Raw genomic sequence first — 23,833 nt, 5'->3', positions numbered from 1 at the left:
CCACGCAGTGCCTGAGCATGCATGAATATTGGCATACACACTAGCCAGCCATAACAAACACAGCAGTCTGCTAAGCCATCCAATTAGTGTGGTTACTACCTAGCTGCCTTAGGCCTGAGTTGTCAATGCTGGCAGCAGGCTTAGTAGGTGGTTTGGGTTGTAAACTTGATTTTTACCCAACTGAAATCATGGGACTTTCTTCTGCTTTCTATCCTCTACTTAGGTTCTTGTTTTAGTACTTTTAAAATAGAGCATGATATTCTAATAACCTTACCAAGTGTAGTAGACTGTAGTAGAATTTTAGAGGGGCAAGGTGCATTCATCTATCTCGAGACACACACACACCCAGATGAATGTACTGATCTCGAGGAAGTAAGACAACTTGCCCAATGTCACACCGTTAATAGTGAAATTGGAACTAGAATTCCCTTTATATATTCTGTATTCCAGAATATTATCATCATGTGCCTCTCCAATCTGACTGCTGTCTGTGAATCTGCTGTCCCACACTGGCCTGACAGACCTCTCCCAGAGAGGCAGGATAAGCTGTAGTTCAGGGTGTGGTCTCTAAAGTCAGACTGCCTGGATACACATTCCAGCTCTGCCACTGGCCTGCCGTGTTATGGGAAACCTAGCACCTGTGCTTTGTTTTCCTCATCTGCCAGGTGGACATACTAATAATACCTACTTCGCAGGATTGTTGTGAAGATTAAATGTGTTAATGCCTGTAAACGTCTTAGACCAACCTGGAATATCGGAAGTGCTTAGTACACACTAACTATCGTTTTTGTCTGAATGCTTTGAATGACAGTGGGGACAAATGAAAGCTCATGATAGATCCCACTGAAATGTTTTTCTCAGCTTGAGTAGACCAACTAGGGTTCATTTAAGGACAGCAGAATGTCTGTACCAACCCTACCAACCCCCTTCAGGTCATCTTTGGGAGGCCAACATGTTCATCACAAGTGTTTGAGACATTTTGGTTTAATGCACCCCACACAACTTCCCCACCTATTACTCAGAGTGATTGAGGGTTTGAGGCTTAGCTGCTGAGAATGATGTGGGGGGGACATTTGCAGGTGGGTGGTAGTTCTCATTAAACTCTTCTGGCTTTATTCACTTGGCATTCACATTCCTTTGATTTACTGTGGAGTGATTTTGCTCAAGACCTAGAGAACAACAGGATCAGCATTAGGATTCTTAAAGGTCCATGGAATGACTACTTTCTACTAAGCACAAGCCAGTATTTTGTTCCTCCATGTAATAATGTAAGTTATTATGTAGAATTCAACAGTTTGTGGGAGGGGAGAAGTTTTTATGGAAGGGTGGCACTGTCTGTCTCTGTGAATGATGTGGGTGAGATAACCACAAAGTATTGCTAAGTAACTACCACATTTGTCAGTCCACTGCCATCGACTGTGTGGGAGGCAGGGAAGACACAGTGTGGAGCTAATTTGTGTCATCCCTGTGTCATGGGAGAGTTATAGCCAAGCCCAAGTGTTGCTTTGCGTGATGAGTAAGATACTTGGAGGAGAACTCTGATCTTACTTGAGTTCCACGTGGAGTTGACTTACAGTGGTGATGCTGGTGGTGAGTGGTGTGTTCTATAACTACTGGAGCTGCAAAACCTTCTGAGGAAACGTGTTTTTCTCTGGGTGAGTAAACCTGGTTCCTGCTTACATTTGCAGAAGTGTTTCTCCTTAAAGTAGGCCGCCTCTGTGACTGCCCGGAACCATCATTCCCCTTGGCTTTGCTGCAGCAAACAGACTCCACCTTTAAAGAGCTGAGGAGTTGTGGGAGGAAAAGCAAATGGGAGGTGTTCTCATGTCGCAAGAGATGCCAGGGAAATTCACCTTTGGACAATAGATCTTTTACAAGGCAAACTTGGCCCCACTGTTTTTGGTGTTTATCCTGTTTCATGCTTAAGAAAATATTTTCCTATAAAAACATAGAAACATTCAGCTGAGTTTGTGTCTAAAAGTTCGATGGAGAAAATTTGGACTTGAAATGTCTCTTCTGTCCATGCTCTGTATTGGTAATGCCAGAAACTGATGAACTCACCACATTTACACTTGTAAATGGTATGTCTGTGCTCAAGTTAGGATCCTGGGAAGCAATTGCGGCTCTTCTGGGTAAGATGAGCTGCAAGCAGCCTGGCTGTTTGGGAGAGAGCTCAGTGCAGGAAGTAGTGTTGGAGCTTTAGTTCCCTTTTTAAAGGCCTCTCCCTTCTGCTTGTTTTAAAGTTGGTTTTGAGTTGTCTGTCATCCCATTTGTATGATAAGCCTTTTCCTCAGGCTTTTCATCTATAGGATATTCAGAGACCAATTAAGATGATTGAGAAACAAATAAGACCTAGTGGCAAAACCTTTTGAAATGCAGTTTACTAGCTTGTGAGCCACTGAAGTCTTACTTTTTTCTTGAACATTATTATTATTATTATTATTATTATTATTATTATTATTATTATTATTTGAGACGGAGTCTCGCTCTGTCACCCAGGCTGGAGTGCAGTGGCGCTGTCGCGGCTCACTGCAAGCTCTGCCTCCCGGGTTCACGCCATTCTCCTGCCTCAGCCTCCCGAAGTAGCTGGGACTACAGGTGCCCGCCACCACGCCCGGCTAATTTTTTGTATTTTTAGTAGAGATGGGGTTTCACCATGTGAACCAGGATGGTCTTGAGCTCCTGACCTCATGATCCGCCCGCCTCGGCCTCCCAAAGTGCTGGGATTACAGGCATGAGCCACCACGCTCAGCCGGAACATTATTTTTAAAAACAGAACTTTGGTTTGCACATACTCAGTTGCCCCAACTTCATTTATTTATTTTTAAAGAGGACAGGATACATTTACTGAATAATATTTACATTTATGAAGCGCAGAAATGCTTTTGTAAAGCAGAAGACACAAAGGAGGGTCAGACGATTTCCTTTCATGGAAACCCGTTTTGTTCACTTTCCAAGCATGGTGAGGCATTGCTGACCTTTAGGTAATTTTTCGTACTTAATGTTTCTTGATCACATAAAGCCATCGCTCTACATGAAATCAGAACTGAAGCGCTACTGTCATTGGCAGAATATTGTTTTAGAAATTAAAAGTCCCACTCAGGGTTGTAAGGTGAATACAGTATGAGCTGTGTCAGATGGCATTATATGATTTCACAAATTATTAATGAGTTAAGCCATATGATTCATTTGATCAATGAGATAACTTAAAACCTTTCATAATTATGTTCTTTAGTAGAGAAATTAGGGAGCTGTGTCTGTACACGACAGGTATTTACAACAGTCCTCTATCATTTCATCCCAGAGTGACTCTCCCCTTACCTACTAGCCATCTGCCTGATAGACAACTGGCATCTTCAAGATCAAACAAATCATGGGTCTGATTGAGATTAGTGAACAGCCATCCTTGTTCTTAATTCAAGTGGAGAATTACTTGAACATCTCAGAGATGACTAGTGCTTTTATTTTTTTAAATATGTTTAAATTTTAATTAAATATATAGGGACGGGGTCTTGTCATCTTGCCCAGGCTGGTTTGGAACTCCTGGGCTCAAGTGATTCTCCTGTTTCAGCCTCCCAAAGTGCTGAGATTACAGACGGAGCCACCATGCCTGGCCTAGAGTACTTTTAGAGTTTAGTCTCATTTCAGTTACTATCTACATTTATCATCTTTTGCCAGTGAGTATTAAAACATCAAGAACTAAATGGTTTGACCTAAAACCTCCACTTAATCCCAGTTACCTATGAGGAATACACTATTAGAACAGAGAGCAGAAGCATGATTAGTTTCTTTTAGAGCCCCCTCTGATTTTTATTGAACTTGCTCCTACTCCTCTTGAGCTTGGCGTATGCATAGGAATGTTTATTTTACCTGTTTTAAGTGACGTTTACTTGGAAGCATTTGAGTAGTTTATAAATACATGGTGTCATAGTATTGGCTTGTGTCAGGAAGACTTGCTTACCACAAAGCAGTGAAGTCTCAGTGGAGAGCTGGCCCCTGGTCTACAGAGTGACCCAGAGCTGGGTCATGGCTGGTTCAAGAGCGTCTCACATTCGCTGTCTATCTTATACTGTCTGGATCTTGAGTTTTTGCATGTGATAAGCCATCCACTTTTTGGGAATATATATGCTGTCTCTGTCACTGCTATCTGGGATTCAGTTTCTAGTTTCTGACCATAGCTCCTCACTCCTACCTTGTAGGCTCCTAGCTCAGTCCCTTTCTCTCCTTCTGGATATTTAGTTAAAAGCCTTGCCATCAGATCAAACCGGAAACAAAACTTGATTTGAGCAAGGTCTGCATGTGTATTAAAAAAAAAAAAAAACACGTAAGAAACTTGAATTTTTTTTAGAAGCAAAGTACAGTCAGCCCTGGTATCTGTGAGTTCCACATCGCATTAAACCAACTGTGGATCAAAAATATTGGGCGGGTCAGGGGAGGATGGTTACCTCTGTCCTAAACATGCACAGACCTTTTTTTTTCTTGTCATTATTTCCTAAACAAGGCAGAAAAACAATTATTGTCATAGCATTTGCATTGTATTCAGTATTATCAGTAATCTAGAGATGATTTAAAGTGTACCAGACGGTGTGTGTAGGCTATATGCAAATACTACACCATTTTATATAAAGGTCTGGAGCGTCCATAAATTGTGGTATCCAGAAAGGACCCTGGAACTAATCCCTCATGGATATGGCGGGACAAATGTATATATTCACTGAAAACAACTTGAAAAGCACAAAGAAGCAAATAAATCTATTAGTCCACTATTAAAAAATTAGTATTGTTACCATTTTAGTATTAATATATGCATTTCCAACCTCTGTGTGTTTGTGTTTGAGTTTGCATGTGCACAGATAAATAAAATCCACATAAGTTAATGTCCTTTTGGTATTCTATGGTGTAAAGGTAATCTGATTTATTTAAAATAACTGATTCCGAAAGTATGTTGCAGGAACCATTGATGATATTTGAGATAACTGTAGGGAACACCTGAGCATGTTTGCTTTTTAATAATTATATTTTTATTTTATGTGTATTTGAAATTCTAACTGCTGCATCAAACGTGAGTTCAGGGTTACGGTTACTTTGAAAGCCCATTAAATGCGGGAGTCTCCAGCACCTTTTTGGCATCTCACTCAGGTGATTTCGCTAGGTCTCCAGTATTCAGCATGTCAGCAATTTGGTCAGCTCTACCTTCAAAATACATTCATATCTCAACTGTGTTACCACTCTGAATGCTACTCTCATTCAAGTGATCCAGGTGAGCACGGTTTATTCCCATATCTTTGCAACTAACACCCTGCTTTAGTCTTTTCTCAATTTGTTGACTTATCTCAGAGTCAAAGCCAGAGCCTTTACCATGACCTCCAAGTCCCTACACGATCCGCCCCCCCATCTACACCGCATACACCGCTCTGTGGCCTCATCTCCTCCCACTCTTGTTGCTCACTCTGCTTCAGTTGCATTGGCCTCTTTGGCCATTTCTGAGCACGCCGGGCATGCTTCCACCTCGGGGCCTTTGCCTTTGCTTTTCTTTCTCCTTGAAGTGTTCATCCCCAGAGCCCTGCTCTCCCACTTCACATTTTTAATGATTCTCTTCTGTTGGGCACTTACCTGCCTGCCTTTTCTAAAATTATAACTCTTTTCCTCTCACGGTTTCATATTCTCCTTGCCTGCTTCCCCACGGCCCCTTGGCTGTATTACCAACGTACTACGTATTTTACTTATCACTTCTCTGTCCTCTAAAATGTAAGTTCCACGAGGGCAGGGATTTTTGTCTTGTTTTGGTCACTCCTGAATCTAGAAAAGTTCCTGGAATGTAGTATGTAGTAGGCACTCAATAAATACTAGTTGGAAGACTAAGTTAAATAAAAATCATGACCTGACTTAATAATAGTAAATCAATACATGAGGTATAAGGATCTGTAAAAGTCAAAAAGGTGATGAGTAATGCGTGAAAAACAGTGATATGTTGTAAATTTGTTTCTTTTGTGGTCTTATTATAATTATCACTGCAGTAAATACCCTTAAGTAATTTTTGGGTATGTTTATGATTCTTTTCTTAAAATAAATGCTTAGACATATAATTGCTGGTTCTTAGGATATGCATATTTTAAGAGTTGTTAGACCTAGTCCAATATATATCAGATTGTACTTCTGCCTTTAATGTATGAGTGCCTGTATTTCTTCGCATACTTGACTGTCCTTTGTCTAAGTGCTTTTTTATCTTAACCAATTTAATGGCTGAAAAAGCTATCTGAATACCTTAATTTGTATGTCTTTGACATGGATGAGCTTTATTTCCACATGTCTAATTCTTATCTGCTTACCCTTTTTTTACGAATTGCTTGCTCACATCTGTTTTGGTCTAGACTCTGGTTGCAGTGGACTGTAAACCTACTTGAATTAATTGTATTGGATGGATGTCACAGGCGTTGGGTTTATATCCAAGAACAGGATGCAAGGAACAGTGAGACCTCCCAGACACAAGAACTGAAGGGTCTGCTTCTCTCTGCCATCTCTACTCTCCCTTTTTTTCATGGCGTCTTTGTTCCTCTATATAACTCTTCATTCTACCTGGCTTTGGTGTGCCATGCCACTTAGTTCAGCCCCTACTTTATGTGACCTTTCAGTTCACGTACCCAGTCATAGTTTAAGTGCATGGGTATCCGCGGCCCAGATTTCTAGGGTGAGCAGTCTGTTGGATCAGTTTTATCAGCTGGTCACTCCTGTTCCAGTCAGCTGAGGTCAGCATAGAGAGCTGAGGCTCTTGGGGCCTGTTGCCAGGGGCTGTGGATGAATTGACTTCTCTAGCCCTGACACAAGGATGCAGTGATTAGAATGCTCAGTACAATGTATTTTGCCGATTTTTTGATTTGTTGTATTAATCTTTCTCTTATGGGTACCCAAAAGCCCTTTCCATTTGAAGGATAGTATTGCCTTTTGTATAATGGGTGTTTTTCTATCCATTTATCATTTTAATTTTGCTTAGTGGTGTTGCCATGTAATCAAGGCTCAATTAAATCATGATTTCTGCTAGTTTCTAGGTTAGAAATACCTTCTTTATGAGGAAATTATACATTCAAATATATTTTCTTCAAGTTCTCTACATTCTTATCTTTCATGTGCTCTTTGAATTGGATTACATTTTAGAGGGATTAGTGAGAGAAACATCTTTACAATGTTTATTGCAGGAGCATAGTGTTTATTTAACTGTAATTCACTTCTCTCAGCAAAATTTTGTACTTTCCTTATTTTAGTTTTCTTAAGTTTATTCCTAGCTACTTCATAAATTTTATTCTTGGTAGAATTTTTTTCAGTTATGTTTTCTAACTGGTCCCTCATGATTTATTAAAGCTATTGTTTTTATATTTTTGTAACTGACTATCTTACTAGTTGTAATTTTTTGCTTAATATTTTTGGGCTTTACATGTCAACAGTTATATGCAAGTAATTATTTTATTTCTACCTTTTTCTATTTTTTCTTTCATTTCTTTTTCTCAATTTATTGTGCTAGATCTTTTAAAATGAGGATAATAATTGTAATGGCAGGTAGCACATGTCTTACACTGTTGTATTTTTTAGTGATAATTATTCTGACTAGATAACTAAATGCTGTCTAGATAACTGGAATGCTCTGGTAACTTACACAGCAAATACAGGAATGAAACTAGTGGAAAACTCATTTTAACCCCAAAGATTTTCTCCACTGGCTTGTCTTGGAGCCTTAAAATTTCACTCATTTATCAGTCTTTCTGGTCAAAGCACTGCCTCCACAAAGTTCCTGTTAAAATGTATTATACCTGCTAAGATGGCATGTCACATATTTAGTTATCTGATTATTTTCTAATAAATGGTACTGGCCTATTGGGAAAGTGCAAGATGGACCTCAAGCAAAGGGAAAAGTGTTTTGATGGTGCTGTCAGTGTGAGCCTTCATAATGAAGCAGCTGCTCACCTCCACCTTCATCTTCTGCCTGCTCTGTGTTCTTCACACTGTCTCACCTCCGTCCCACAAGCTTCAACCTGAGTGAATGTCCCTTGCTTTTTAAAATATGTCTTGTTATCTTGCCTGGGGCTTTCCTGCTCCTGGTCCTCAGTGTCAGTTTCGCTGTCACTTTCTCCAGGAAGGCTGATGTCCTTAGACTAGGCTATGTGTTCTATTGCATTGCTCCTTTAAAGTAACATTTTAAATCTTTAAAAATAACATTCATCTTTAACATAGTTGCTTTTTAAAAATCATCTCTCATGGCTGCTCAATTATAACCTCAAACTGCCATGCCAGAGAGCATATCTGCCTTGTTTACTGATATGGTTTGGCTGTGTCCCCACCCAAATCTCATCTTTAATTGTAGTTCCCATAATCCCCGTGTGTCATGGGAGGCACCTGGTGGGAGGTAATTGAATCATGGGAGCTATGCTGTTCTAGTGATAATGAATAGGTCTCACCAGGTCTGATGGTTTTATAAAGGGCAGTTCCCCTGCACCTGCTCTTTTGCCTGCCACCATGTAAGACATGCCTTTGCTCCTCCTCTGCCTTCCACCATGACGATGAGGCCTCTCCAGCCATGTGGAAGTGTGAGCCCACTAAACGGCTTTCCTTTATAAATTGCCCAGTCTTGGGTGTGTCTTTATTAGCGCTGTGAGAATGGACTAATATGTTGACCATTATGTCTGACACACAATAGTCACTCAGTGTTTCCTAAGTTAACAGTTAAAAGGGGGTTGGAGGATAATGCTTGACATGTTATTGGTGAACTTGAGCAACCACAGTGAGCTGTACTGGTTGGCAGAAGTAGCGGCGTAGGGAAATTGGAGTTGAAAGGAGTGTGGCCAATAAGCCTGTGCCCAAAACGTTTGAGTTTTATCCTGATGTGAATCTATGCAGAACTGAAGGGAAAGCCTGCCTTCTGTTTACTGGAGTTGTGCACAGTTTTGAGGAATTTGAAAAAAAAAAGCAGTTTTATACATAGATGACCTCTGTGCATCCTTGGACGTGAAGCAAGATATAACCCTATACTTTATACTTTTATCCTTTAATTTCCTTACTCTTTAGGGTTGCAGTGATACATCCACTGGGCTTTTACAGCATCTAAAATGGCAGGCTGGCTCATAAAGTATGAGAACTCCACCTATAATAAAGACCATATTTCAAGAGCTAGAGTGAAAAAGGCAGTTGGAGGAAAACACAGGAATGTACATAAAAGTATTTGGTGCTGTTTTGTTGGCAACAGAAAGGAAGGTTTTTGCTTTTGTGAGCCTGGATGGTTCCAGTTTATGAAAATGTTTTCAGAAGTTAATACAAAGACATTGTTTCAACTTTTCTCAAGTTATAGTAAACTTACCTTTCTTCCCATACTTTTTCTATTTTTTTTTTGTTATATTTATTCTGTTACTATAAATTACACACTGAACTCAGAACTGAATATGAATAGCAAGACCAAATCCTTTTTTGGCTATTTTCTATAGCTTATTTATTTGCAACATGTCTTCATGAGGGAACCTGTTTGATGTCGTGTTTGTTTGTTTATTTTATTTCATTTGTTTATTTTTTGAGATGGAGTCTCACTTTGTTGCCCAGGCTGGAGTGCAATGGTGCCATCTCAGCTTACTGCAACTTCCGCCTCCCAAGTTCAAGCAATTCTCCTTCCTCAGCCTCCTGACTAGCTGGGACTATAGGCGCCCGCCACCACTCCTGGCTAATTTTTGTATTTTTAGTAGAGACTGGGTTTCACCATGTTGGCCAGGCTGCTCTCAAACTCCGGACCTCGGGTGATCTGCCTGCCTCGGCCTCCCAAAGTGCTGGGATTACAGGCATGAGCCACGGCATCTGGCCTGATGTCATGTTGAACTGAGGGTTGACCTTGGAGAACTGGAACTAAAAATACGGTGATCAAACTGATTTTATGTGAAATTACTATATGACTAATAAAATTAAGCAAGTTGAGACTGCTAATCCTGGTACATTGAGTTAGGTGGTACTATACTTAAGTTCAGAGCCATTCTAGAGCTGCAGAAGGGTGTGTATTTAATACTTTCACTTTACAGATGAGGAAGCTGAGATGTTAAGTGACTTGATTGAGGTCATGCAGGCGTTTAGCTTCAGAACCAGATTAATAGTAGCTGCCCTATTTTATGCACTTAGGTGCACTCCTACCCCATTTTATAGATGGGCAAACTGAGGCACAGAAGCAAACGTCAGAGTCAGGATTTGAACCAAGGTGGTCGGTGTCACAAGTCCTTGCTTTTAACCTCTAAGTTGTTTTGCCTCTGCCTCGCTTTCTGGATAGGCAGTCCATTATTCTCTGCCCTTAACAATGTTGCCTCCTAGAATGAATGGTTTCAGGGAAGCTCCTTCCCCAGTAAATGGCTCTTGTAGGTATTTTCCATAGCTGAAAATGGTATTGGCCTTTCCCCAAGATGCTCTGTTCTCATAGATGGTTTAGGTTGAAAGAATCCAGTCTGTGATTAGAGAACCCTGAAACGGGAAGCAGATACTTCCATGTCTACACTGCAGTGGGAGCAGTGCAGCCAAAGGACAGCTACGCCTTCCGAAGGGGTGGAGTTCGGGTTATGCTGCAGTCTTTTTATCTCCTTTCGCGACCATGTTGTTCTTTAGGTAACTCATTTTTTAAAAAAGTTTGCCCAAAAGCCAACAAATGAAAGTGATTGATTGGATAACCAAAGTGTACTTTGATACCTGATATCTGCTCCTCTGCTTTGAATGACAGAAGATAATTTCTGTTGTTCTTTTAAACAAGTTGCATTGTGCCTGTGTTCTGTGTCCTCCTGGGAAATGACTAAAAGAGATGCCCAGAAGTTTTGGTGTATAAAACTTGTTGTAAGGCAAGAGTCACCCACAATGAGTCTGGTTTAGGTGTGGTCTATTGGAGTTTAATTGGGAACACCAAATATAACTTGAGCACATTTCAGCAACAGCACTTGTAGGACCTAAAGGCTTTAATATAGCAAGGTCCTTGGAGCTTGAGGACTCAGTGGGATCTGGAGCCTATTTCATTCAGTAGAAAATTACTGGCTGGGTGCGGTGGCTCACACCTGTAATCCCAGCACTTTGGGAGACCAAGGTGGGTGGATCACTTGAGGACAGTAGTTCAAGACCAGCCTGACCAACATGGTAAAACCTTGTAGGAGTTGTGGCACGTGCCTGTAGTCCCAGCTACTCGGGAGGCTGACACAGGAGAATTGCTTGAACCCAGGAAGCAGAGGTTACAGTGAGCTGAGATTGTACCGCTGCGCTCCAGGCTCGCTGACAAAGCACTCCATCTCAAAAAAATAAAATAAAATAAAATAAAGTTATTAAGATTTGGTATCTTCAGAGCTTTTTGGGGAAGAAGGTATGGTTGTGATTATTATTTTTTATTTTTATTTATTATTTTTTACTATCAGGCCCTGTGAAACGGTTGTCTTTTAAAAATGTCTTTTTACAAAATTGTAGTAAAAATTCTCTCAAACGGTAGAGTATCCTTTAATTCATCTCATGTATTTTATTTCAAGACAGTTAAAGAAGTGCCCTATTAGAGGCTTAACAACAGTGCTACGAGATTGTGAAGTCATGTCAGTCGAGGGTTTCCGCAGGCTTCATAGAGACATCTGATTTGAGCCTTGCAGGAGGAGTAGATGTGTGTGCTAGAAGGGAGAGGACACCTGAAGCTTAGGAAACAATAACATGAGCCAAAGACCACATAGTGTACAAGGGAAAAATTTAGTGGGAAATGAGGCTCAAGACTTGGTCAGCCAAACGCAGCAAATCTGGAACAGCATGCTAGGGCGTTGATGGACGGGATTCTATAGGCACTAGAACGTTTTAGATAAAGGGAATGACATCCATTCTAATTGCTGGGGAACTATGGAAGAATTTGGATGTATCTCAAGATTCTTGGGTTACTAGATAACCTTAAAACTTTCTCCCTTGTGTGTGTTTTTTAAATGAGTTTTTAGTTTTTCTATGGTATAGAGAACATACTTTTCAAATTCTAAATGTTAGATAATTTGCCCGTTTTTTAAAAAATTTTCTTGGAGACAGGGTCTCTCTCACTGTTACCCAGGCTGTACAGTGGCATGATCACAGCTTACTACAGCCTGTGCCTTCAGTTGATCCACCTGTCTCAGCCTCGTTAGGAGCTGAGACCATAGACACATGCCACCATGCCCAACTAATTTTTAAATTTTCAGTATTTTTTTTTTAACGGAGTCTCACTCTGTCGCCCAGGCTGGAGTGCAGTAGCAGCAACCTCTGTTCACTGCAATCTCTGCCTCCCAGGCTCAAGCCGTCCGCCCACCTCAGCCTCTTAGTAACTGAATTTTATATTTTCATTTTTAGTAAAGACAGGGTTTCACCATGTTGGCCAGCCTGATCTTGAACTCATGGCCTCATGTGATCTGCTTGCCTCAGCCTCCCAAAGTGCTGGGATTACAGGTATGTGCCCCGATGCCCAATTTTTTGTTTGTTTGTTTATAATAGAGACAGGGTTTTGCCATGTTGGCCAGGCTGATCTCAAACTTCTGGCCTCATGTGATCTGCTTGCCTCAGCCTCCCAAAATGCTGGGATTTCAGGCATGAGCCACCTCGCCCAGCCCCAGCTAACTTTTGTATTTCTTTGTATTGATTGATTGATTGGTAGAGATGGGAGTCCACCATGTTGCCCAGGCTGGTCTTGAACTCCCGGGCTCGAGCAGTCTGCCTGCCTTGGCCTCCCAGGGTGCTGGGATTACAGACATGAGCCACCATGCCTGGCCAGTAGTTTGACTTTTCATCGTAAAAAATACCTTTTGTCAAGAGAATTAAAAAAAAAATTGTGAGTAAGATGGCTTTCTTGTATCGAAGCTTGAATGTGGTCACTTGGTTGTTGCTGTAACGTATAAATGAACTTGAGTCTTGAATGTTTGTGGGTATTTCCCATTACTAATAAGGAGGTACAACAAAGCCTTCAATGGAAGAACCAGCAACTATAAAACTAAAGTCATTTTTTGGGTGGATTTTTGGCTGCTTTCTATAGTTGGCTTAGGAGAAAAAGTAGAAAGCTGGAGTATGAGGATGATATGTTTCCTTTGGCAAATCTGTGACATGGAAATTACCATGAGCCAAGGAGCCAGAGGACATAGCTTGTAGCTCTGCTGCCTGCAACTTTTAATTATGCAATTCAGGGAATAGCTCATTAACCTCATTTTTTTTGTAAAAAAAAAAAAATATATATATATATATATATACATATATATATTATATATATGTATATGTATATATAAATTGTCTACCTTGTATGGAGTTTATGAGACCCAAATGATTTAAGTGTTGTGAAATACTAGCTTTTGCTTCTTTTTTTTTTTTTTAATCTGCTGCCTTCCTAAAAGTCTGGCTTATCTTTGTGTTGCTTAAAGGTTGGCTAAAGGCACTATGATTCACCAAGGTGTTCAAGTCAGAAACCTTGAAGTCTACCTTGAGTCCTCCCTCTTCTTCATCTCTCATATATAATTGGCCTCAAATTCAACCGGTTTTACTTTTTTACTCACAATCCTGCTCCATCCACCCTGTATTGATTACTTTACATGGAATCCTTCTCATCTGTCACCTCGACCCTTGCAGGAGTCTGCTAACTGGACCTACCCCCATCTTCAGTCTCACCCTCTTAAAAAACACTCTCATAGCACTTACTTGCCAGATACTGCTTTAAGCACTTTATAAATTCCAATTCATTTAATCTATCTATTTAATCCAGTCACCTTCCATAATACCACCTAGTTACCGCTCTTGAATCTGGCCATTTTTCGTACCCACTTAAAGTCTTTTCCTAGCTCCCTTGCCTAAGCATTCCACGCCCCTCTCTGACTGCCCCATCTTCGCACCCTGTAGTCTAGTGACATTGGCTCTTGCACTGCTTTGGACAAGCCATTCAGTCTTACACGTCTCTGTCTTCTGTGACCTATCCCTGGTGCTGGGAAAACTTTTCTTTCCTTTCTCTCCACCTGGTAAATGCCACATTTTGGTTCAGGGTTGTGTGTGGTGTAACCTTTTCCCATTGAAGCACTAGTTGGTCCATTATTTCTGTCTTGCATATAGTTTTCTGTGCAGAGTTTGTGTTCACTCTCTAGACTATGAAGTTCTGGGTATAGGGAGCTGTATTTTGCTCTTTATTCATATGGTGCCCGGCAGGAGGTGTGGATGCATGCTTGGTAACTGATATCAGTGAGAGAACTTTGTTTTCCTCTTAAGCTGCTGCTCTTAACTGTGACATTAATATTGGTACGAAACAATGTCAGAACCATCATACCATTCATATCACTTTGGTATGAGCTGATACTATTATCATACCATTCATATCACTTTGGTGTGAGCTGATAATATTATCATACCATTGATATCACTTTGGTATGAGCTGGTACTAATTATATTATAGCACTTAAGGCCCAGGACTTACAGTACATTTGAAAGGTAGAAAGTACACTGCCTCTGGCTTTAGAAATATTCATCTCAGTGTTGAGTACAAAATGAAAGTTGATCCTGGGTGTTTATAGCCATAATTAGATTTTTAAAAATCAAAAACAAAACCTTCAAGCCTTTCCAAAGGGCCTTTGCCAAACTTATGGAGGCTGACATGCATTCTTCAAACTTCAAAGATAACACAGTAGATGTTCCAAAATCAGCTGTAGGTAATATGACTCTTTCCTTCTTTGATGGTAACATTTCAATTTATATTCCCAAGGGAAAGATACAAAAGATCTTGAGGAATAATCTTATTTACATCACAGGGAATATAAGGTAATAATAAAGTAATAAGATGTGCTGTTTGATGAGCCATATAGTAAGTTGGACTAGGCAAGTTAGAAGGGAAATTGCTACTGATACAATTCTCTTTGGGTCCAGTTCATGTAGAGAGTAGTGTAATTGTAACAGGATTCTCCAGAGAAATTGAATCAATAGGTGCTATCTATCTATCATGAGATTCATTATAGGGAATTGGTTCACGTGATTACGGAGGCCAAGAAGTCCCACGATCGGCCATCTGCGAGCTGGAGACCCAGGGAAGCCTCTGGTGTTGTTGGAAGGCCTGAGCGACAGAGAGCTGATAATTTAGATTGTAGTCTGAGTATGAAAGCCTGAGAACCAGGAGCTCTGAGGGCAGAAAAGAGAAATGTCCCAGTTTAGCAGTCAGGAAGAGATTGAATTCAGACTTTGTCTACCCTTTTATTCATTTAGGCCTTTGGGCTTTGGATGATACCCACCTACATTGGGGAGGGCCATCCGCTTTACTCAGTCCACCACTCAAACGCTCATCTCTTCTAGAAGCAGCCTCACAAACACACCCAGAAACAATGTTTAACCAGGTGTCTAGATATCCTGTGGCCCAGTCAAGTTGACACGTAAAATTAACCATCCCAGGACCTTTTTGCTGTAGGGGGAAATACGGAAGAACTTGATTCTGATCAAATGAAGAGACTGTGAATCGACTACATAGATCCCTGTGGGATGTGCTGATTTTGCTAATGCTTTTAAAGCCAGCAATGAGTTGCGTGTGGAGGTTAGGGAAGAGATCAGATTTTCACAGGTTGTTCTCAGTCCATTGAAAATATTGATCAGTTAAAACAGTAATGTTCAAAGTATGAATCATAATTTCTTAAATCATCCTCTCCTTTGAGCTGGGACTGGAAAAAGAAGAAATCATCTTCATTCAAAATACTGAAACCCTCTGAGTTAATTTGTACCAGTGAATAGGATTCTCTTCCCCTCAACACTCATATCCCTAATTATTATTTATCCTCTAATAAAATACAAGGTAGTTACGGTGAGGATGCTTATAGCCAGTGGACACTGAATGCCTAGTTAGACCATTTGTGATTCTCAAACCGGGTTGCACCCCAGAACCTGTGAATCTGACTCTTGGGGGTGGTACCTGGCCATGTGTGTTTTTAACAAGCTTCCCAGGTGACTCTTACAGACACTGAATTTGGAGAGTCTGGTGGTCTTCACAACTGACAACTCTAAAAACCTACTGGTGCAGTAGTTTTCTAAATTTGTTTAGAACTTAGGATGCCTTTTGAAATATAACTAACTTTTGGGTTCTCAAACTTTAGGTCTGAGATGGGACCTAAAGTTGCCTCTAACAATTTCCCATGTAGTTCTAATACACACATAAGTTTCAGGGACTGCACTAGTATATTGTAGTATTGCAGAAAGGCAGGGTTTTTCAAATTCTGTTTAGGTACAAAATGATTCATAGTCAAATAAATCTGAGAAATGCTGGAAAGTTAAAACATTGTATGTGTGTATTTTTTTATAGCTTTGATTTTTCAGAGCCTAGAGCACACTAGGGTTTTATAGAATACTGTTTTGGGGGGACTTATGGAAAGAGGGCAATTCTTGTCCTCTTGTTTGTTCAAATACTTGACTAAAAGGATGATGCTGGACTCGTGTATGCCCTGGCACGCTGGCTGAAGTACTGTGTGTTATTGATACTCTGCCTAGGGATCTAATTTGACTCTTCTAGTTATCTGTATCGCAGTCAGGTGTTGACAAAGCCATCTTGATCTCTGTTCTTATTCACTGCTTCCCCCAAACACTACACATTTCTTTGTAGCATTTACCATAGATAATAAAGTGTATGCCTTAGCCAGTGATAGATGGCCCCTGAATTTATTCTGGGAATTGCGCAGAATTTAATTTTTCTATTTCTATTTTGTAAAATCAAGAATTCTGGGAAGCAGAAACCATTAAAGTCTTAAATATCTTAAGACTAATACCTAATTTTGAGTTACTGATTTTGTTTAATCCCCACAGTAACCCTGTAAGGCAGGTGTTCTGATCCTTAGTATTTACAGATGAGGAAACTAAGGATGAGAAAGGTGACATAATTTAGAGCTGAGACCTGAACTTTGGTCGGCTTGAGCCTCCAAATTTATCATTTCTTTTCTCTTCACCATGTTGCCTTCCTTTCAACTATATAAGGGCAGTGGAATGTTTACTGTGGAAGGTACTCTAGGACTGAAGACAGATACATGTGGTTAATTCTAACTTTATATCTAAGTATCTTTGTGTCTTTGGAAAATTGACATAGCCTGGGTCTCACTTTAAAAAAGTTACTGATTTTCTTAGAGACACGGCCATGTCTGTCACCCAGGCTAGAGTGCAGTGGCATGATCATACCTGATTGTAGCCTCAAAGTCCTGGGCTCACGTGCTCTTCCCGCCTCAGCCTCCCAAGTAGGCAGGACCACAGACATGTACAGATAAGCCTGGAAATTTGTTTTATTTAGGCAAGGTCTCACGGTGTTGTCCAGGCTGGTCTCGAACTCCTAGGCTTGAGCAATCCTCCCGCCTCAGCCACCCAAAGTGCAGGGATTACAGGCTTGAGCTACCATGCCTGACCTCACTTTTTCTCCACTAAGTTTATAGTGCTTTCTAGGCCGCCTTGTCAGCGTATTAGGAAACACTTGTGAACATGGAATGGGGTGTGTGTGTGTGTGTGTGTGTGTGTGTGTGTGTGAGTGTGTTTAAGATAAAGCACCATGTGTAATTGTAAGGAGAGAGGAGGTATGGTGTCCTCATTTTCCCAAAAACTTAGGCAAGTTTTAAATGGTATCAATGAGAGTTACATCTGCAAGTATTTTAGTTGCTATGGAGTGACTAGCATGTGACAGTACTGTGTGACAAGGTGTAGAAACGTCATCTCTTGGGTGACTTGCAGCTGGTGACATTGCAGAATTCAATGATAAGTTGCGGAATTCAGGATCTCTTGTGGCAGGACCCAGAAGGCGGTTTGATCATCAATAGGGCAGGACTTTTCATACCTCTAGTGAATAAAGGGGAGGGGAGAATTCACGCCTTTGCTATTATTGCCACTTTACTTGTATTTTGTTCTTATTTTGAGTGGCTAGGGTAAAGATCTTTTAACTGATTTAAAGGATGTTTAGTTTTTATTTTATCAGCCCTAGTTCCAATGATAGGAATTCAAAATGTAAAACTTAGACTGTCTAGATGACTTGATTATAGTTGAAGGAGAAATTTTAAAGCGAGCTTGAAGAATGGTGCCAAAGTGCATCTTATTTTCTGCAGACTCCGAAGAAAGGAGTGTATCCTCTGAGGGGAAGTTCCAGACTGGCAGGTCTATTTTGGCTTCAGGTATGCTTTTCTAGTTATTGAAGTGATAAGGTTTTTTTTTTTTTTTTCCTGTCTCTCCATTCTCCCTTTTCCTCCTTCTTTATAAAACCAGATTAATATTATCTATTATATGCTTTAGAAATAATATTAAAGAATGGAGCTTAAATTGAAACTTCAAGAGCTGATTGATTGGATCGGCTTGCCATTTTTGGAGTGAGCACATGTGCTGGATGGGAGTGAGGTAGTGCCAGGACCTAGGAGAAGCACATTTAAGCAAATATTCTTGTGCTGTAAACTTTAAAATACCTGAACCTGGTCATCTGACATGGATTTTTTTATTTGAGAAGATGAGATGTACATGGGGTTAATATACTAGGGAGGTCAGCATATGACTTTTCCGTGGTGAATTTCATTCTGAAATGTCAGTGTTCTCTGAAAGTCATAAAACATGAGTGCAAGCTGTTTTCTGAGTTCATCTCTGATATGCAGCTTCTTGAGGCAGATAGTTGGGAATTGCTTAGTGGTTCACACTGATAGCTTATGTCATTTAGGTCAGGAGGCAGAGACTGTCGCTAGGGAGATATTGGCGTAGGAGGGACAGTTTGACACAGGACATCACAGCCAGGTCACAGACTTTTGCCATTTTAAGAGTTGAATTTGAGGATGATTCTACTTTATTCTCGCACCAGGTGGAGTATTGCTCTTAAGAGTATGTTTGTCCAGCTTAGGGGGTGGTGAAGGGGTACTTGGAACACACTCCCGGGGATGGACTGTACTACTACTAAAGGAACAACACAGGTTGGTTCTGCTGTCAAGTGATGCCTGAATGATGTCCTTTGGAGAACTGGATGGGACACAGGACAGACTTTATTTAGGGCTATGCATCATACTTCTTCTTAGGATATTTCTTTGTATCATGTACAAGACCTTCCCATGGCCCCTTCTCAACCAAAGTTTCTGTGTAGAAAAAAACCTTATTGTGTAAATCTAATAGCTTAGCAAAAGTTGGAATGCCTGTTTCACAAAGAGTGTGTTGCATGTAGAAAAGATAGAAAGTAAATAGGAAGTAAACAAAAAATTATCAAGGTGGTGAAACAAAGAAAATTTTTTTTCTTTTCTGAAGGACTTTTACGTCTTTATTGTCTTTGCTAAGGGTACTAAGGTGCATTGTGACTCTGCAGTCGGGGGCTTAGAAGTTAAAGAACTCGATTACTTGCCAGTCTTATTTTTTCTTAGGATGGAGGTTGTCCTCTAAGCAACCATTTGTGTGTGTGTGTGTGTGTGTGTGTGTGTGGTGTGTGTGCATGTGTGTGCATGTGTGTGTGGGTATTCCCTTCTCAAAACACTTGAAGTGAGAGGCTAAATTATGACTTAAAATCAAAATTATTATTTGAAGCCATGGGTATAGAAGTTTAAGAGCCACCTGGAATTGGAGCTTTGTTATTGGGGTGTGTGTGTGTGTGTGTGTGTGTGTGTGTGTGTTGTGGGGGTCAAAATTTTGGAATTAAAATGACATTGCTATTTAATATTATCTGCAGCAGTGTTTGAATTAGCTGGAATATTGTTCATTTCCATAGAAACTGGTCACAAATGAGAAACAATATTATTCAGTTTTGTTAGGAAAAACTCAAGAGCTTGTAATTTTGTTAGGCCTTGATTATAAATACTGGTCTTAACTAATTCACGCAAATTTCATCCAACCTGTAATTTTTTTTCATGAGGAATAGTTACCTATAATCTCAAGGTGCAGCTTTTTGGAACCTGGTATTATTTTTTTTGGAAAATGAAAAAGTAAAATTCTAATAATAATCTCAAATGTATTCTTAGTCTCTAATAATAGCAGTGCTTACAAAATATCATTCTCATTTAGCTACACTGAAAAATAGCATTTTAAAAGGCGTTGAATAGAGAGAATTTCTGTAGCTTTTTGAATGGTCTTGTTTGAGGAATTGGCCATAAAACTTTAGAATTAAATGTCAAAAAAAAAAAAGAATTTCAAAATACCTTGTTTTGCCCAAAGCAGAAGGAATTTTTATGCCGTCATTGTTTGAATGTCATGACCTATAAATGAAAATAAACAGAATAAAATCTTGTTTTTAAACATTAAACGTTAGGCTGGGTGCAGTGACTCCATGCCTTTTATAATCTCAGCATTTGGGGAGGCTGGGGTAGGAGAATTACTTAAGTCCAGGAGTTCGAGACTAGCTTGGGCAACATCATGAGCCCCTGTGTCTACAAACATTTTAAAAATTAGCTGAGCATTGTGACTCACGCCTGTGGTCCCAGTTAGGAGGCTGAAGAGGGAGGATTGCCTGTGCCCAGGAGGCTGAGGCTGCAGTTCCGCCACTGCACTCCAGCCTGGGTGATAGAGCAGGATGCTGTCTCAAAAGAGAAAAGAAAACCAGAATTAAATGTTACTGAGTTTTAAGGCAACTGCATACAGCAGACTGTTGTATTTGTGGGTTCCACATTGGCAGTTTCCACCAACTGGAGATGGAAAATAGATTTAAAAAAAAAGAAATGGTTGCATCTCTACTGAGAATGTTCGTATTTTTTTCTTGTCATTATTCCCCAAACAATAAAGTATAACAACTATTAACATAGCATTTACATTGTCTAGGTATTAAAAGTAGCTTAGAGATGACTTAAGGTATACAGCAGAGTGTATATAGGTTATATTTAAATACTGAGTGCCAGTTTATATCAGGGACTTGAACATCCATGGATTTTGGTATTTTGTAGGGGAGTGTTCTAGAACCAGTACCCCACAGATACCAAGGGATGACAGTACTAGTGAAAACAAACAACATCAAATTTTTTGAATCTAAGATACTATTGATTGGGAGATAAGTCAGTATCTTAATTTATTATATTTTATATTTTACATATTTAAAAGTATATTTTCATATATTTTCTGCTACTGCCAGAAAAGAATATGCCATTTCACTTGGAGAAAATGGTGTTAAATACAAAATCAAGAAAAAAAAAAAAAAAAGGAAAAAAATGCCAGCAATTAACTATGACACAGTGCTTTCTCTTGGAGTTTCTAATAATTCTTAAACTTACAGATTTTTACATACAAATGACTTTGGCATATTCTCGATGCTTGCCTGCATAAATAATACTTTTGTCTCAGTACCTTTTATAGCATCTTTTTGAAGACACTGTAAACATCAATTAAATCAAGATTAAACCAACAGTATAATTTTGCGTTGTGCACAGGTAATAAAAGTCTGACAGCCACCTGGCTGCCAGGGTTCACACTGGTTGATGCATGAGAAAACCATTCTGGCTGGGTGCGGAGGCTCACGCCTGTAAACCCAGCACTTTGGGAGGCCGAGGCTGGCAGATCACGAGGTCAGGAGATCAAGATCATCCTGGCCAACACGGTGAAACCCCATCTCTACTAAACAGACAAAAATTAGCTGGGCGTGGTGGTGGGCGCCTGCAGTCCTAGCTACTCAGGAGGCTGAGGTGGGCGAATCACATGAACCCTGGAGGCGGAGGTTGCAGTGAGCCAAGATTGCGCCACTGCACTCCAGCCTGAGCGACAGAGTGAGACTCCATCTCAAAAAAAAAAAAAAAAAAAAATCCATTCTAATTTTAAAGAATTTGAAATATTTAAAAAATGTGTCTAGGAACTAATGAAATATGAATTTGTATTTACATAGTTTTGCCAAAAACAGCACTTTTGCCTTATCCCTCTGGAGAGGTTCAGGGGAAGAGTTTGGGGAGGGCTTTTTTTGTTTCTATTGAGTAGCATCTCTGGCTGCTTCTGTCCTCATCCCCTCCCTTCATGAAGGCTCATGATCTGGTTCTGAAGGATTCTTTTTGGTGATTCAAGCTGGTTTGTGCTGCCTGTTACTTTATCCTCTCCTTTAGACTCTGTCTTTTTTAGTTTCCTTGAAAAATACTTGTCAAAGTATTTGTTGACTAAACCTACCCTCTGGAAAGCCTGGCTTTGTCAACAGCTGTTTACCTTGTCATCTCTGCTGTATACAATGGTGCAGTGGACAAAAAGTGTTGGATTTGGAGTCAGGAGTTCTGTCTCTGGGTACCAGTTGTTTTGATATGAACAGTCGTTAGGTAGTCTTGCCGGGAAGTTCTCCAGTTCACTTTCTTAAGTCCTTGTGGCCTAGAGGTAGGTGCTTGTCCAGATTACTCCACAATTCCTCTGGATCACATCAAGGGTCTCTGATGTAACAGGCAGACATGCCCTGAATTCTGCTTGTTTACCTGTGAGCCCTGGCAGGGATGACTTTTCCCCCCAACCCACCTGCCCCCATTTATCAGTCCAAGGGGATTCCTATTTAAATTTACTCTAACAATCTGTTAGGAGGTTCTGACTGTCACTAATATAAGATTATAAATGTAAAGGCCTTGTCACATTTTAGAAAGCCAGAAAATGCAATGTTTTTCTTCCCAACTGATTTTAAAGACTCTTCATTCTTTCTTTCCTTTTTTTGCTGGTTGTTGGGGGGGGTATGGAGAGGACATTATTCACTAAATTTGTTGTCTACTGGGTCTCTTTAATTCTCAGTTTATTTGCAGAGCAGATTGTCCTGTCTTGTGCCCAATAACTGAATCTGTTCCAGCTTATGTCACTAACCTCTTTTTACCTCCAAAATGCCATGATTTCAGTCTTAAAATACCAAACACTTTGAGATTGAGTTAGATGGCAGATAACATCTAATTCACATTAAAGAACACAGCGCTCACCCTCCTCGCCTTACAGGTAGTTTGGTTCTAGGAGGCGCTAGTGTGAAATCAAAGGGCAAAGTAAGATCATGTATAGCTCCCTAAAAAAAAAAAGTAGCTCCCTACTTTAAAATATAATAAATGAAGGGAAGGAAAAACTAGTTTAAAAGCGTAGAAACTGACAACAATAGTTGTCTTTCATAAAGGTAACGTAGGCTGGACACGGTGGCTCACGTCTGTAATCCAAGCACTTTGGGAGGCCGAGGCGGATGGATCACCAGAGGTCAGGAGTTTGAGACCAGCCTGGCCAACATGGCAAAACCCCTTCTCTACTAAAAATGAAAAAAATTAGCCAAGCGTAGTGGCAGGTGCCTGTAGTCCCAGCTGCTAGGGAGGCTGAGGTGGGAGAATCGCTTGAACCGGGGAGGCAGAGGTTGCAGTGAGCCGAGATCGCGCCACTGCACTCCAGCCTGGGCGACAGAGTGAGACTCCGTCTCAAAAAAACCAAAACCAAAAACAAAAAACGTAATGCATATAATCTATTTAGTAATCATGGTTTTAGTTTTCTTAGGTTAGATATTAAGAGCTGAAGACCTTCCCCTCTTCACCGCTGCATTCTGTCCACTTTGCTTTTGCCACTTTTTCACGTTGCTCCCCATTTGGCAACAATAAGGGATAAGCATTAAAAGATCTGCAACATAGAGAGAGCTCATTGGCAGATGATTTCCGCTGATCAGAGTCTCTAGATTCCGTAATAAGGAAATTGCTTACAATAAAACTCAGAAACTTTCAGCTTTGTATACAGATTCATGAAAGAAAACATTTGAATTACTGCTTTTGGGCATCTTCTACTCAAGTTGATAGCTGCATTGAGACGAGTACACAGTTGTTTGACTTTTCCTTTAAGCTTCTTGCAATTTGATTTAGGACAGTTGTACTGAGCGTATGTTAAAGCCCAGCCATTATCCAAGGTGCTGTGTTAGAAATTTCATTAAGATAAGGATTCAGCCTTAGAAAAATCACAGACT

General features: G+C 40.2%; 1 protein-coding gene across 29 annotated transcripts in view, besides 1 other annotated feature; it reads left to right on the top strand.

The window, feature by feature from the left end:
- The window catches only part of PSD3 (pleckstrin and Sec7 domain containing 3), a 557,503-nt gene that overhangs the window by 243,532 nt on the left and 290,138 nt on the right, over positions 1–23,833 (top strand). For 2 of the 29 annotated variants that reach the window (NM_001412891.1, NM_001412892.1), the window contains exon 1: positions 18,707–18,796. The exons of 24 other annotated variants lie outside the window; for them this stretch is intronic. In NM_001412891.1, coding sequence (NP_001399820.1) covers positions 18,771–18,796 — 26 coding nt within the window. In that variant the 5' untranslated portion in view covers positions 18,707–18,770. Of the gene's footprint in view, positions 1–1,540; positions 1,656–17,835; positions 18,129–18,706; positions 18,797–23,833 lie in introns of those variants that run through there. 3 more of the 29 variants (NM_001412886.1, NM_001412889.1, NM_001412890.1) reach the window with 3 other exon arrangements.
- Positions 812–2,011: an enhancer, noted in NCBI's record as "BRD4-independent group 4 enhancer chr8:18696773-18697972 (GRCh37/hg19 assembly coordinates)". NCBI's record gives its function as "activates an origin of replication core promoter dependent on BRD2, P300/CBP, MED14 and CDK7 cofactors, and independent of BRD4, by STARR-seq in HCT116 cells {active_cell/tissue: HCT116}" and the evidence as "EXISTENCE:reporter gene assay evidence [ECO:0000049][PMID:35650434]".

Source organism: Homo sapiens, chromosome 8 (genome assembly GCF_000001405.40).
Source record: "Homo sapiens chromosome 8, GRCh38.p14 Primary Assembly".
NCBI lineage: Eukaryota > Metazoa > Chordata > Mammalia > Primates > Hominidae > Homo > Homo sapiens.
Note: the sequence above shows the minus strand (reverse complement) of the source record. Positions and strands in the feature narration are given on the sequence as shown.